Source organism: Homo sapiens, chromosome 4 (assembly GCF_000001405.40).
Source record: "Homo sapiens chromosome 4, GRCh38.p14 Primary Assembly".
In the NCBI taxonomy this organism is placed as follows: domain Eukaryota; kingdom Metazoa; phylum Chordata; class Mammalia; order Primates; family Hominidae; genus Homo; species Homo sapiens.
The window spans coordinates 94,316,306-94,332,767 of record NC_000004.12 but is presented as its reverse complement, the minus strand read 5'-3'; the positions used below and the strand labels follow the sequence as shown (position 1 = coordinate 94,332,767).

The following is a 16,462-nucleotide window of genomic DNA, read 5'->3' as shown; positions in this document are numbered from 1 at the left end:
TTTGTAGTAGCAGATAACTCGAAAAGTTGAGCTGACATAGGATTGACTAGAAAAATGTTGATGGAGAATTTTTCTTGACCCCTTTGTCGGACTTGTGATGGGGTGCCCCATTTACTTGGCCCACTGCACTCAATCCCTTGTGGGAGGGAGCACGTGAGCAAGCAAGCATGGGATCCAGCTGACCGCTTTGGGCGCTGGCAGGAGCAAGCTCTGTGTGGGCCCTGCAGCAGCACCCAGGTTGGGGTGCCTGCGACCCCTGAAGCCCCAGAGGCATGTTACAATGCTCTCTTAGCCCTGCCATCCATGGACAGCGGTGTGTTATCAGCTCAGTGGGCCTCTTGCCTCATCACATGGGGTGGCTGCCCCCCACCAGCAAGGGCAAAAGGCCAGTGCGACAGCCTTTTTTGGTTCCCTGTACTTGGTGGGTCCCTGCACTTAGTGGGTCCCAAGCTGTTGTCCAGCGTCCGAAGAACTACGTTGTCCAGACACTTGAAAGATGGTGAAGGCAGAACATTTTATTAAGTGGTGGAAATGGCTCTCAGCAGAGAGGGGAGCTGGAGAGAGGACAGGGTGGGCAGGTAGTCTTCCCCTGAAGTCAAGTCATCTCTCCTCCGAAGTCCAGCCATCTCTCTAAAGTCAAGTCAACTCTCTCCAGCTGGGCCGCTTTTCTTTCCTCTACCAACTGAGTCTGAAGTATTTATAGGCACACGATTGTGGGGCAGGGTGGGCTATAGGTAGTTTTGGAAAAGGCAACATTCAATTGGTAAAAAAGCATTATTCAGAAAGAACCAATCAGGAGACAGCAGGCAAACAGGAATAGATTTTCTTATGTTGGGCCGCAGGTTTCAGGCTTTTTGGCTTGAAGGTGGGGTTTCACTGGGGACCTGCTGCTGTCTGCCTAGAATTTCTCTGCCTCCTGCCTCTATCAATGTGAAGAAGCACTGTGACCACCATATCCCTTCTCGTCCCTAGAATAAGCATGGAGGTTACTCTCAGGGGAGGATAGACCAGAGGCTTCTGGGACAACAGACATGTCTTGAGGACACAATGCTATAATAAAGGTGGGATTCAGTGGAAGTATAGAAACTAAATGGTGAGATCCATAGCACCTTTCCCCTGCTCTACAATCAGAAGGCTACAACCAGGCTAATATTCCTTGAGCAGAAATTCCTCTCTGGGGAAGCTGATCAGCTCAAGTTAATGAACGATCGAGAGTTTCTTAATGAAACAGCCCAGCCCAATCTGTTGGCAAGCCCCTCCCATGCACACTGAGCTTACAGGTAGTTTTTATTTCTTTGCCTTTTAAGACATAAATGGCAATCAAAAATCAATAGATATTTGAGAAAAATCTAACAGAAAACATACCTAAACAAAGAAGCAGAAAAAAAGCAACTCTGAGGAAACCAAGATGATTTAGCGAGAAAAAAATACCACTTCAAACATTTTTTAAAATCCTCAGAGAAATAAGAGAAGATATTCTATCCATGAAACAAGAACACTGTAATAGCAAACTAAATATGGCCTGAGAAGGACTCTGTACTACTATATTTGAGTCCCTGTAGATGAACTGTAACCTAACTTAGTAAGTAGACAAGATTAAAACCTAACTTAGGAATATGCACCTATAAGAAGAGCTGAGTCTTGGCCAATCCCAGCAGCCACACTTCAACCACTCATATACTGCTGAGTGTTCAAACTGTGTTCAAATAAGGCAAACTCTGGGCTGTAACCAATCTGGTTGTTTCTGTACCTCACTTCTGATTTTTGTGTGTCACTTTACTTTTTTTGTCTATAAATTTGTTCTGATCATGAGGCCTCCCCTGGAGGCTCTGTGATTCTGCTGTGATTCTGGGGACTTCCCAATTGGCAAATCGTTCATTGCTCAGTTAAACTCCTTTAAATTTAATTCGGCTGAAGTTTTTCTTTTAACAACAGGGTGCTGTCAAAAGAAATATTCAGAGACAAACAGTTCTTGAAAATTAAAACTATGATACAAACACATCAATAAAATGACAAAAATAAGGATATTTTTCCCAAAAGTACAAAAATAGGACAAATAAATGAAAAATAAAAGAAGAAAGAAAGGAAACTTGAGGCTCAGTTTAGGAGGTCCAACTTTCAAATAAAATTCTGGAAAGAGAGAACAGAAAATAGAAGGGAGACTAATTTTGAAAGACTATTCCTTATACAAAGTTGAGATCTGTCTCCTTATAGCTTTCATAGATTGGTCTTGTACTTAATAATTTTAATCCATGGAGAACCAGATTACTCCTTCTTTTACAACCAAATATTTAAAGAAACCTAGTTTCTTTAAAGACGTCATGGAAAAAAAAGCTATTTCTGAGTGGTTAGTTCAATACAAATGTGCTGAGTGAAGATAAAGGTCTTTGGCAGAATTTGTAATTGGGTCCCATTTAATTCATGCATCTGTACCTCTAACTAGTTAACAAATTTTGGAACTTCCTTGTTAGTTTCTCTGATCATCATTGTGAATTTTAGTCCAACTTTCCCATCCCTGACTCTACTTCTTGATTTAGATGCCATTCTTCCCTGGACCATCTGTGATTTACAATTTTACAATCACACCCAGGTCCAAAGGACAATTAAGTTTTCTTCCTTGAGTGCTCATTTATATTCCCTGATTTGCATTTCTTCACCACTCACGTAGGTATCCTCCAAACAAGTTCCTGTTACTGTACATCTGCCATTTAAGGTGTGATACCTATGGAGAACACAGTGTTTAAGGTACAAGAACAGCACAGAGCAAAATGGGACCATCATTCCTGTCACAAGACTAGACATCATTGTAAGACATTTTACCAAGATCACTGTAGTTATTTTGCCAGCCACATCACATTGAGGCCTCATATTCAGTGTAACAAAATTCCTTAATGCCTTTTAAGCTTTAGAATACTTCTGTTGACACCTCCAACAACACTGGGATTATTATTTTTTCTGGAATCAAATGAAGGACTTAGCATTTGCCTTCTTAAATGTCTTCTTGTTAGATGCAGCCCAGTGTTCCAGTTGTGGGCAGTTATCCCAAGGTTGGCTCAAACACTTCCAGTAGCTAAAAGCTCACTATCTCACAAGAAAACACATTCTGTTGTCAATGGCTCTAATGCGAACAAAATTATTCTTCATCTGCCCTTTATTCTACTACCCTTTGATTCTAGTTTCACATTTCAGAGGTACTCAGAATAAGTCAAATTTTTCTTCTATTTGATAGTTCTGTCCTATTTGAGGTGGTTATGTTCCACTTAGCTAGTTTTATCTCCTCCAGGTGAAGAGTGCCAAGGTTCTTCAACCAATCCTCAAAAAAATAAGATTTTCAAATCTCTCACTAATTTGGAGACTATTCTCTGAGCTTGCTCTGATTTTTAATATCTTTCTCAAAACATGGCTCATAGAACTAAGAAAACAGCTGAGCAAGGGTTCCAAGTGACCTCAGTGTGAAGCCTACCTTTACCAGGTGTGTGACCAGGGCAATTTATATAACCTCTTAACTTCATCCCTTCATTTATAAAATGAGATAGTTATCACCTACTTCATAAGGTTGTTGTAGGTAAAAGAAGACCTAATGGGCATGCTAAATATTTAGTACAATGCCTAGCACAAAAAAAAACCTCTCCCTGACAAAAAAATTACGCATTTTGATTCCTTCTTGTTCACATATTTTGCTTCAAATAAGGCATCCCAACTCATGTCAATTTCATTTGAGACTTTGTTTTGCTCACTGAAGTATCTCAGGCACCAAAAATAGTAGTTGGGACACTCATTACTTAAAGGTAAGTACTTAAAGGTATTTTTATTCCAGATGTGAAGTATAGTTCTCATATACTTATTTAGGTGTGCATATGAAAGATACTTGAAGGAGACACACAAAGTTGATTCTAGTAGTTGTATGAGGGTCATCAGAGTGTGACTGGCACTTTATTATTTTCTCTCTTTTAAAATAATTTTATGTCCAAAACTAAGGCACTGGTTGGGAAAGTTGTGGTCAATACACATGGCAAAGTATTACGTAGTCATTAAAAAGATGATGTTTCATTGATTTAGAAAGATGTTTAAAAGATACTGTGAAATGAAAAGTGATTTACAAAACTTGAAATGAAAAGTGATTTACATGCATTATAATTTGTTTTAAAATATATATGAGAAATCAATTAAAATATTAAAATGGTTAAAACTATGTGGCTGAATTATTTTCATTTATCAGTTTATAATTTTTCTATAATAAATGTATATTACTTTGTGACAAAAATATAATAGGTTTAGATAAGAAAACAGTAGGATTTACAGATAAAATATTAATATGGTATCTGCTATCAGTCTGTCCGATATTTGTGCAAAAATGCTTGCTGCCTTGCTATACATTTCAAATAGTCCCTCATCAAAATGAAGTGGGGCTTCAAAATTAATGACTAGAGGTAACTGACACTCATCTCCTCAAAGAAGGATCAAAATAGCAAGTAGATAACCACACATCTAATAGAGCATCTAAGAGAGAAGACTGGAATTCAGCTGGGAAGTGATGGGAAACCTCTGAGGCACAGAAAGAAAAGGAAGCGAAGCAGCTGATGTGGCTGGAATCAGCTTGGAGCCGGGAGGGACTCCCCATTGTGGGGAAAAGGTAAGAGAGATATCCCCAGTGGTCCACATTTACTCCGCAGACTCCTGCAATTCTAGCCATGGGAGAGCCCCCTTGGGCCTTATGGGCCCTGAGACTAGGATAGGGAGTGCCTGGAGTCCATGTGAGAACATTGTTCCAGAGTGGAAGTTTGTGCTGTGTCCTACACACCCCCTGAGACCCAAGTAGCTGCATCATGGTGCCACTTGGAGAGCCCAGTCCCCACCAGACTATATCTTGCCTTGGAACCCAAAAGCCCGTGCATCTCCACATCCCTGGAGCCCTTCTGACATCCCCCCACAACAACCCAGAGGGCTGCAGCATTGCAATGCTGGCTTCACTTAAGTGTTGTGGCTGGGTGCCTAGCCCTTTAGCCCATGTAGTGTCCCAAACCTTGGGGAAGAGACAGTGTAGCATACCAGACAGGCTGCTGCTGTAACACAGGAAGCTAAAGCACGCACTCTCCAGAGTCTGAGAGCTGCCTGCCTGGGGCTGTTGCCACAGACAGCAACCATACCTTCTCTAGTATCAGGGCCACAATGTACCTTCATGCACCTTTATGAAGCCCGGGGACCAGCTCACCAATATGCCATTCCAGGACCTGAGGATAGTACTGCCACACTTATCACCACTAGCATTTATGTGCACCATCTGCATGCCTGAGGACCAGCCCACCCCACCCACTACCACTGCCACTGGCACCCAAGCACATTATCCAGGGGTCTGGGGATCAACGTGCCCTGCCTGCTGCCACTGGTGCAAACATGCACTCTCAGGAGACCTGAGAACAAGCCTATCTTGCCTGTCACTGCTGCTGCCAATTCCTGAATGCATTGTCCAGTGGCCTGAGGATCAACCTACTCCACCAGCCACCACCAGTGCTTGTGCACATCATCCAGGGGCCTGAGGTCACCTTTTCTGCTTGCCACTGTCATTGGGACTCACAAGCATTGTCTGGGGGGCTGGATCTGCCTTACCCAGCACTGCTGGTACCAGTGCATCCCATTCAGGGGCCTAGGAATCCACACACCCAGGCCACTGTAGCCACCACTAGTGCCTGAGGATGAGTCCACTTGGCATCCCCCTCCCCAGCAAAGACTCACCACAGCCTCACTAATAACTACAGCCTAAGCCACTGAGAAACTCACAGACACCACTGATGCTGACTATAGCTGAAGAAATCATATGAAGACTACATTATTGCACCTACTTAGAATCAAAGCTAAAGTACCCTACCCAACCAACACTATAGATATATCTATAGGAAAAAGGGTTTCCCTACAAAAATCAATCCATAAAACTGAAAGGAGCGACTACTATACCAGATACACAGAAATCAACATAAAGACACAAGAAATATGAAAAAGCAAGGAAACAAGACATCTCCAAAGGAACCCAATAATTCTCCAGTAACCAATTCCATAAAAAAGGAAATACATGAAATGCCTGAAAAAGAATTGACAATAATGGTATTAAAGAAACTCAGTGAGATACAAAAGAATACAGATAATACAAAGAAATCAGGAAGACAATGATCTGAATGAGAAATTCAATATAACAGATAGATATTATAAAAAAAATCCAAACAATTCTGGAGCTAAAGAATTCAATGAATGAAATTTAAAAAATACAACTAGAGCTTCAATAGACTAGGTCAAGCGAAGAATTTCTGAACTTGAAGACAGGTCTTTTGAAATAACCCAGTCAGACCAAAGAAAAAAATAAAAGAATGAAAAAAGGATGAAGAAAGCCTGTATTACATCATTTGGGAAACCATAAAGCACCCAAATGTTTGAATTTGGGGATTTTGGGAATTCCAGAAGGAGAAGAGATGGACAAAGGCATAGAAAACCAATTAACAAAATGATAGTTAAAACTTCCCAAGTCTAGCAAGAGATTCAGACATCCAGATACATGAAGCTCAGGTATAGATTCAACATTAAAGTCATTAAACATTAAAGTCAAACTGTCAAGCTTGTCAAGTTGTCAAGTTTGACTTTGTCCTCAAGGACAAAGAGAATTCCAAAAATAGTGACAGAAAAGTGTCAAGTCATACATAAAGGAATCCCCATCAGACTGACAGCAGATTTCTCAGCAGAAATTTTAGAGGCCAGGAGACAATGGAATGATATGTTCAAAGTGCTGAAAAAAAAAAAAAACCTGTCAGCCAAGAATACTATAACCAGCAAAGCTATCCTTCAAAAATGAAGGAGAGATCTTTTCCAAGATGGCTGAATAGGAACAGCTCCAGTCTGCAGCTCCCAGCGTGACTGATGCAGAAGATGGGTGATTTCTGCATTTCCAACTGAGGTACCTGGTTCATCTCACTGGGACAGGTTGGTCAGTGGGTGCAGCCCACGGAGGGCAAGCTGAAGCAGTGTGGGGTATTGCCTCACCCAGGAAGCACAGGGGGTTGAGGGATTTCCCTTTCCTAGCCAAAGGAAGCCATGACAGACTGTATCTGGAAAATTGGGACACTGCCACCCAAATACTGCATTTTTCCAATGGTCTTAGCAAATGGCACAACAGGAGATTATATCCCACGCCTGGCTCAGTGGGTCCCATGCCCACGGAGCCTTGCTCACTGCTTGTGCAGCAGTTTGAGATCGAACTGCAAGGCGGCAGCCTAGCTGGGGGAGGGGTGTCTGCCATGGCTGAGGCTTGAGTAGGTAAACAAAGCGGCTGGGAAGCTTGAACTGGGTGGAGCCTACTGCAGCTCAAGAAGGCCTACCTGCCTCTGTAGACTCCACCTCTGGGGGCAGTGCATAGCTGAACAAAAGGCAGCAGAAACTTCTGCAGACTTAAACGTCCCTGTCTGACAGCTCTGAAGAGAGCAGTGGTTCTCCCAGCATGGTGTTTGAGTTCTGAGAATGGACAGAGTGCCTCCTCAACTGGGTCCCTGACCCCCGAGTAGCCTAACTGGGAGATAGCTCCCAGTAGGGGCTGACTGACACCTCATACAGCTGGGTGTCCCTCTGAGATGAAGCTTCCAGAGGAAGGATCAGGCAGCAGTATTTGCTGTTCTGCAATATTTGCTGTTCTGCAGCCTCCGCTGGTGATATAATGGCAAACAGGGTCTGGAGTGGACCTCCAGCAAACTCCAGCAGACCTGCAGCTGAGGGACCTGACTGTTAGAAGGAAAACTAACAAACAGAAAGGAATAGCATCAACATCAACAAAAAGGACATCCACACCAAAACCCAATCTGTAGGTCACCATCATCAAAGACCAAAGGTAGATAAAACAACAAAGATGGGGAGAAACCAGAGCAGAAAAGCTGAAAATTCTAAAAATCAGAACACCCCTTCTTGTCCAAAGGATCGCAGCTCCTTGCGAGCAATGGAACAAGCTGGATGGAGAATGACTTTGACGAGTTGACATAAGTAGGCTTCAGAAGGTCGGTAGTAACAAACTTCTCTGAGCTAAAGGAGGATGTTTGAACCCATCACAAGGAAGCTGAAACCTTGAAAAAAGATTAGACGAATGGTTAATTAGAATAAACAGTGTAGAGAAGACCTTAAATGACTTGATGGAGCTGAAAACCATGGGATGAGAACATCATGATGCGTGCACAAGCTTCAGTAGCCGATTTGATCAAGTGGAAGAAAGGGTATCAGTGATTGAAGATCAAATTAATGAAATGAAGTGAGAAGAGAAGTTTAGAGAGAAAAGAGTAAAAAGAAATGAACAAAGTCTCCAAGAAACATGCGACTATGTGAAAAGACCAGATCTACATTTGATTGGTATACCTAAACATGATGGGGAGAATGGAACCAAGCTGGAAAACACTCCAGTATATTATCCAGGAGAACTTCCCCAACCTAGCAAGACAGGCCAACATGCAAATTCAGGAAATACAGAGAACACCACAAAGACATTCCTTGAGAAGAACAACTCCAAGACATGTAATCGTCAGATTCACCAAGGTTGAAATGAAGGAAAAAATGTTAAGGGCAACCAGAGAGAAAGGTCAGGTTACCCACAAAGGGAAGCCCATCAGACTAACAGCTGATCTCTCAGCAGAAACTCTACAAGCCAGAAGAGAGTGGGGGCCAATATTCAACATGCTTAAATAAAACAATTTTCAACCCAGAATTTCATATCCTGCCAAACTAAGCTTCATAAGTGAAGGAGAAATAAAATCCTTCACAGAGAAGCAAATGCTGAGAGATTTTGTCAATACCAGGTCTGCTTACAAGAGCTCCTGAAGGAAGCACTAAACATGGAAAGAAACAACCGGTACCAGCCCCTGCAAAAACATGCCAAATTGTAAAGACCATCAATGCAAGGAAGAAACTGCATCAACTAATGGGCAAAATAACCAGCTAATATAATGACTGGATCAAATTCACACATAACAATATTAACCTTAAATGTAAATGGCCTAAATGCTCCAATTAAAAGACACAGACTGGCAAACTGGATAAAGACTCAAGACCCATCAGTGTGCTGTATTCAGGAGACCCATCTCAAGTGCAGAGACACACATAGGCTCAAAATAAAGGGATGGAGGAAGATCTACCAAGCAAATGGAAAACAAAAAAAAAGGAGGGGTTGCAATCCTACTCTCTGATAAAACAGACTTTAAACCAACTTAAATCAAAAGAGATAAAGAAGGCCATTACATAATGGTAAAGGGATCAATTCAACAAGAAGAGCTAACTATCCTAAATATATATGCACCTGGTAGAGGAGCATCCAGATTCATAAACCAAGTCCTTAGAGACCTACAAAGAGACTTAGGCTCCCACACAATAATAATGGGAGACTTTAACACCTCAATGTCAATATTAGACAGATCAATGAGAAAGAAGGTTAACAATGATGTCCAGGACTTAAAGCCAGCTCTGCACAAGCAGACCTAACAGACAACTACAGAACTCTCCACCCCAAATCAACAGAATATACATTCTTCTCAGCACCACACCACACTTATTCCAAAATTGACCACATAGTTGGAAGTAAAGCACTCCTCAGCAAATGTAAAAGAACAGAAATCACAACAAACTGTCTCTCAGACCACAGTGCAATCAAACTAGAACTCAGGATTAAGAAACTCACTCAAAACCACACAAATACATGGAAACTGAACAACCTGCTCCTGAATGACTACTGGGTACATAACGAAATGAAGGCAGAAATAAACATATTCTTTGAAACCAATGAGAACAAAGACACAATGTACCAGAATCTCTGGGATACATTTAAAGCAGTGTGTACAGGGAAATTTATAGCACTAAATGCCCACAAGAGAAAGCAGAAAAGATCTGAAATTGACACCCTAACATCCCAATTAAGAGAACTAGAGAAGCAAGAGCAAACACATTCAAAAGCTAGCAGAAGGCAAGAAATAAGTAAGATCAGAACAGAACTGAAGGAGACAGAGATACAAAAAACCCTTCAAAAAATCAGCGAACCCAGGAGCTTATTTTTTGAAAAGATCAACAAAATTGATAGACTGCTAGCAAGACTAATAAAGAAGAAAAGAGAGAAGAATCAAATAGATGCAATGAAAAATGATAAAGGGGATATCACCACCGATCCCACAGAAATACAAACTACCATCAGAGAATACTATAAACACCTCTACACAAATAAACTAGAAAATCTAGAAGAACTGGATAAATTGCTGGACACATACACCTTCCCCAAAATAAACCAGGAAGAAGTTGAATCCCTGAATAGACCAATAACAGGATCTGAAATTGAGGCAATAATTAATAGCCTACCAACCAAAAAAAGTCCAGGACCAGGTGGATTCACAGCTGAATTCTACCAGAGATACAAGGAGGAGCTGGTACCATTCCTTCTGAAACTATTCCAATCAATAGAAAAAGAGGGAGTCCTCCCTAACTCATTTTATGAGGCCAGCATCACCCTGATACCAAAGCCTGGCAGAGACACAAAAAAAAGAGAATTTTAGACCAATATCCCTGATGAACATCGATGGGAAAATCCTCAATAAAATACTGGCAAACCGAATCCAGCAACACATCAAAAACCTTATCCACCAAGATCAAGCTGGCTTCATTCCTGGGATGCAAAGCTCGTTCAACATATGCAAATCAATAAATGTAATCCATCACCTTAACAGAACCAAAGACAAAAACCACATGATCGTCTCAATAGATGCAGAAAAGGCCTTCAACAAAATTCAACAGCCCTTCATGCTAAAAACTCTCAATAAATTAGGTATTGATGGGATGTATCTCAAAATAATAAGAGCTATTTATGACAAACCCACAGCCAATATCATACTGAATGGGCAAAAACTGGAAGCATTCCCTTTGAAAACTGGCACAAGACAGGGATGCCCTCTCACACCACTCCTATTCAACATAGTGTTGGAAGTTCTGACAAGAGCAATCAGGCAAGAGAAAGAAATAAAGGTTATTCAATTAGGAAGAGAGGAAGTCAAATTGTCCCTGTTTTCAGATGACATGATTGTATATTTAGAAAACCCCATCATCTCAGCCCAAAATCTCCTTAAGCTGATAAGCAACTTCAACAAAGTCTCAGGATACAAAATCAATGTACAAAAATCACAAGCATTGCTATACACCAATAACAGACAAACAGAGAGCCAAATCATGAATTAACTCCCATTCACAATTGCTTCAAAGAGAATAAAATACCTAGGAATCCAACTTAAAAGGGATGTGAAGGACCTCTTCAAGGAGAACTACAAACCACTGCTCAACAAAATAAAAGAGGATACAAACAAATGGAAGAACATTCCATGCTCATGGGTAGGAAGAATCAATATCGTGAAAATGGCCATACTGCCCAAGGTAATTTATAGATTCAATGCCATCCCCAGCCACCTACAAGTGACTTTCTTCACAGAATTGGAAAAAACTACTTTAAAGTTCATATGGAACCAAAAAAGAGCCTGCATTGCCAAGTCAATCCTAAGCAAAAAGAACAAAGCTGGAGACATCATGCTACCTGACTTCAAACTATACTACAAGCCTACAGTAACCAAAACAGCATGGTACTGGTACCAAAACAGAGATATAGACCAATGGAACAGAACAGAGGCCTCAGAAATAATACCACACATCTACAACCATCTGATCTTTGACAAACCTGACAAAAACAAGAAATGGGGGAAGGATTCCCTATTTAATAAATGGTGCTGGGAAAACTGGCTAGCCATATGGAGAAAGCTGAAACTGGATCCCTTCCTTACACCTTATACAAAAATTCATTCAAGATGGATTAAAGACTTCAATGTCAGACCTAAAACCATAAAAACCCTAGAAGAAAACCTAGGCAATACCATTCAGGACATAGGCATGGGCAAGGACTTCATGACTAAAACACCAAAAGCAATGGCAACAAAAGCCAAAATTGACAAATGGGATCTAATTAAACTAAGGAGCTTCTGCACAGTAAAAGAAACTACCATTAGAGTGAACAGGCAACCTGCAGAATGGGAGAAAAATTTTGCAATCTATCCATCTGACAAATGGCTAATATCCAGAATCTACAAAGAACTTAAACAAATTTACAAGAAAAAATCAAACAACCCCATCAAAAAGTGGGCGAAGGATATGAACAGACACTTCTCAAAAAAAGACATTTATGCAGTCAACAGACACATGAAAAAATGCTCGTCATCACTGGTCATCACAGAAATGCAAATCAAAACCATGGTGAGATACCATCTCACACCAGTTAGAATGGCGATCATTAAAAAGTCAGGAAACAACAGGTGCTGGAGAGGGTGTGGAGAAATAGGAACACTTTTACACTGTTGGTGGGACTGTAAACTAGTTCAACCATTGTGGAAGACAGTGTGGTGATTCCTCAAGGATCTAGATATAGAAATACCATTTGACCCAGTGATCCCATTACTGGGCATATACCCAAAGGATTATAAATCATGCTCCCATAAAGACACATGCACATGTATGTTTATTGCAGCACTATTAACAATAGTAAAGACTTGGAACCAACCCAAATGTCCATCAGTGTTAGACAGGATTAAGAAAATGTAGTACATATATACCATGGAATACTATGCAGCCATAAAAAAGGATGAGTTCATGTCCTTTGTAGGGACATGGATGAAGCTGGAAACCATCATTCTGAGCAAACTATCTCAAGGACAGAAAACCAAACACTGCATGTTCTCACTCATAGGTGGGAACTGAACAATGAGAACACTTGGACACAGGATGGGGAACATCACACACTGGGGCCTGTTGCAGGGTGGGGGTAGAGGGGAGGGATAGTATTAGGAGATATACCTAATGTAAATGATGAGTTAATGGGTGCAGCACACCAACATGGCACATGTATACCTATGTAACAAACCTGCACATTGTGCACATGTACCCTAGAACTTAAAGTATAATACAAAAATGAGGGAGAAATAGTCTTTCTCACACAAGCAAAAACTGAGGAAATGTATCACCAATAGACTGTTCCTACAAGAAATGCTTAAGGAAGCCCTACATCTGGAAGTGAAAGGATGATATCTACCATCATGAAAACACATGAAAGTATAAAACTAACTGGTAGAGCAGATACATAAATGAGAAAGAGAAAAAATCAAAAGTTATTACTATAGATAACCACTAAATCACAAAGATAAATAAGCCTTTATCTATCAATGAATACAAATGATTTAAATTCCCCAATTAAAAAGATACAAAGTGGCTGAATCAAAAACAAAATACAAGCCAACTATCTGCTGCCTACAATTAACTCTGTTCACCTGAAAAGACACACATAGACTAAAAATGAAGGAATGGAAAAAAATATTCCATAAAAACAGGAACCAAAAGCATGCAGGAGCAGCAATGTTTATAGCAGACAAAATAGACTTTAAGTAAAAAATGTAAAAAGAGAAAAAGTCATTATATAATAATAAAGTGGTCAATTCAGCAAGAAGATATAACAATTGTAAATATATGTGCACCCAAATATATGAAGCAAATATTGTTAGAACTGAAGTTAGAGATAGATTCTAATGTAACAAGAGTTGGAGATGTCAACACTTCCCTGTCAGCACTGGACAGATAATCTAGCCAGAAAACCAACAAAGAAACATTGGGCTGAATCTGCGCTAGAGACCAAATGGACCTAACAGACATTTACAGAACATTTCATCCATAGGCCAGGCGTGGTTGCTCATGCCTGTAATCCTAGCACTTTGGGAGGCTGAGGTAGGTGGATCACTTGAGGTCAGGAATTCAAGACCGGCCTGGCCAACATAGCAAAACCCCATCTCTACTAAAAATACAAAACTTATCTGGGTGTGGTGGCACAAACCTGTAGTCCTGGCTACTCAGGAGGCTGAGGCAGGAGAATTACTTGAACCTGGGAGGTGGAAGTTGCAGTGAGCTGAGATCGCACCACTGCACTCCAGCCTCAGTGACAGACCGAGACTCCACCTCAAAAAAAATTTTTTTAATCCATAAGCTACAGACTGCACATTCTTCTTAGCAGCACACAGGATGGGCCATATGTTAAGCCACAAAACACATCTCAATAAATTTTTTTAAATCAATTTTTAAAAATGAAAATTATATCAAGTATTTTCTCAGACCACAGTGGAATAAAACTAGAAATCAATATAAAAAGACCTTTGGAAACTATACAAATATATGGAAATTAAACAACATGGTCCTGAATGATCACTAGGTCAATGAAGAAATTAAATAAGAAATAAAAAATTTCTTGATCATTACATTGTGTGCATATACCATGTACCCCATAGTATGTGCAATTATTATGTATTAATTTTAAAAAGGCTATGGCTAAGTTCTTACCATAACTCAATATGTAAATCAAACTCTTCATAATCCTCAGACTACGATTTTAATAATCTGCAATTGAGGCTGCAAAAAATAATGAAGTTTTACAATTAATTTTTTTTAACAGTAAGCATGTAAAATACAGTACAGTATATGGTGTCACTATAAACCTGAGCTTAAGAACAAATTCTGTCACTAATTTTAAATCAGGTTTTCTAACAACTTAAACAAAACTTATAAAATATAAATATTCCACTACAAGTTGTCAAGTGTTCCTTTAAAAATATTTAAGAATTTCATGATTCCATAAAATCATGCTTTGTTTTCACGATGATCAGTAAAAATGGAAGTAATATAACTTCTGGTTTTGTTATGAAGTTAATTATTTGCTCATTTCATTTTAAGCTCTCCCATTTGGAAAAATCCCCATTTTGGAAGTTGATGGACTTACTCTTCACCAGAGCCTAGCAATAGCAAGATATTTGACCAAAAACACAGGTAACATGTTTATTGTGCTTAAGATTTTTGATAACTGAAACAAATACATGATATATATTCAATATTCATTAAATGACTTTAGCATAGCATACTATAGTACAAATAAGAATGGAATTAAATAAGAGAAAAGTATAAATATACCACCTGTATCAGTTTAACTTTCCATGAGTTCCCTGGACAATTAGACAATTTTATTTTATATCGCCTCCTGCTTTTCCTGCCTTACATCTGTTTGCTCTCCAAGCCCTTTTTGGAGTTTAGCTGAAAAATTGGACAGGGATGTTTCATTCCAAACTTTGGCTAGTTTGCATATGGTAAGTTATTAGAGAAAATTACTTAGCAGAAAATACATATGGCATATGGAGGTTGAAATTTCTTAGACTTAAAATTATATACTCAGTAATGTCCTTCATCCTAATCATGCTGAAAAAAATAGGGAGTTTCTTTGCTTCCACTCAGTGCCATCTGAGGAAACTTGAAGGGGATACTTGGCTTCCGGATTGTTGCATTAGTGCCCACACCCATGGTATTGGAAGAGAAACAATAGAAACTGTTCTTGTTTTTACCTGACACACTTTCTCCCATCCTATGCTCCATTGTCTTCTCTCTTCCCTCAAACTATTCTCACACCCTTTTTGAGCCAAAAGCTACTTTTGGCTTCTTTTAAAGCTCGTTTCTTTCAATCAATCTGTAGAATCACCATTCTCTGAAACCTATCTCCCCACCACCATTGCCACTGCTATGATCCAAGCCATAGACACATACATAGCTCACAAATAAAATGGGCCATGAATACTAAACCTCATTTTGGAATGAAATAGTGTATTTTAAAAATACAAAGTTTTGTGTTACACTAACATGTTTCAACAAATAAAGTTACTTTGAAAGTTTAGAAGAAATGGAAATTATTTATGACCAGGGAAATTAGGCTTTAAAGTGAAAATGACATTTAGGTTTAGGCTCAAAGATAGCTAGAATTTCAAGAGGAAGACTTGGACCTGGGCAGTGCTTTTCAAACTTTATGTGCATCAGGGTCACCTGGATGCTCACTAAAATATACTTTGTGCAACTTTGAGTCAGTAGACCTTGGGTGGGTCCCAAGAATTTGCATTCTCAACAATTTCCCAGATGATGCAGGTGGTCCATGGATCTCACTTTGAGAATCTCTGGGCTAGAACATTCTAAGCAGAGAGAAAATGGCATGAGAAGAAGAATGAACTTCAAATTTGCAGGTGGAAGAGAATTAGAGAAATGCTTAGAAGGATAGATTGGATCTGATTAGAAAGATCTAGAAGGATCTAGAATATGGACTTTTTTTCTTATGCAATTGTAGGTTTTTATCTAGAAAAGCAGCATAACTACCGCTATGCATTTTGGGAAGATTATTGTGGTTACTTTGTATTTGTGGCTACTGCAGGGAAGCATATTAAGAGATCATTGAAATGGTCCAGATGGCAAAGAAGAGAGACCAAGAAAAATACGAAAAATTTGTGGATGTAGAATCATCTTAGAGACAGTAGATAGACGTTGCCATGTGGAAGGCAGTCTATTTAACCAGGAGAGGAAC

General features: G+C 39.8%; 1 protein-coding gene across 2 annotated transcripts in view; it reads left to right on the top strand.

Moving 5' to 3' along the window:
* The window catches only part of HPGDS (hematopoietic prostaglandin D synthase), a 44,302-nt gene that overhangs the window by 10,069 nt on the left and 17,771 nt on the right, over positions 1-16,462 (top strand). Inside the window, exon 3 of one of the 2 annotated variants that reach the window (NM_014485.3) lies at positions 14,803-14,895. The exons of the other annotated variant lie outside the window; for it this stretch is intronic. Coding sequence (NP_055300.1) covers positions 14,803-14,895 — 93 coding nt within the window. The remainder of the gene's footprint in view (positions 1-14,802; positions 14,896-16,462) is intronic. 2 annotated transcript variants of the gene reach the window in all.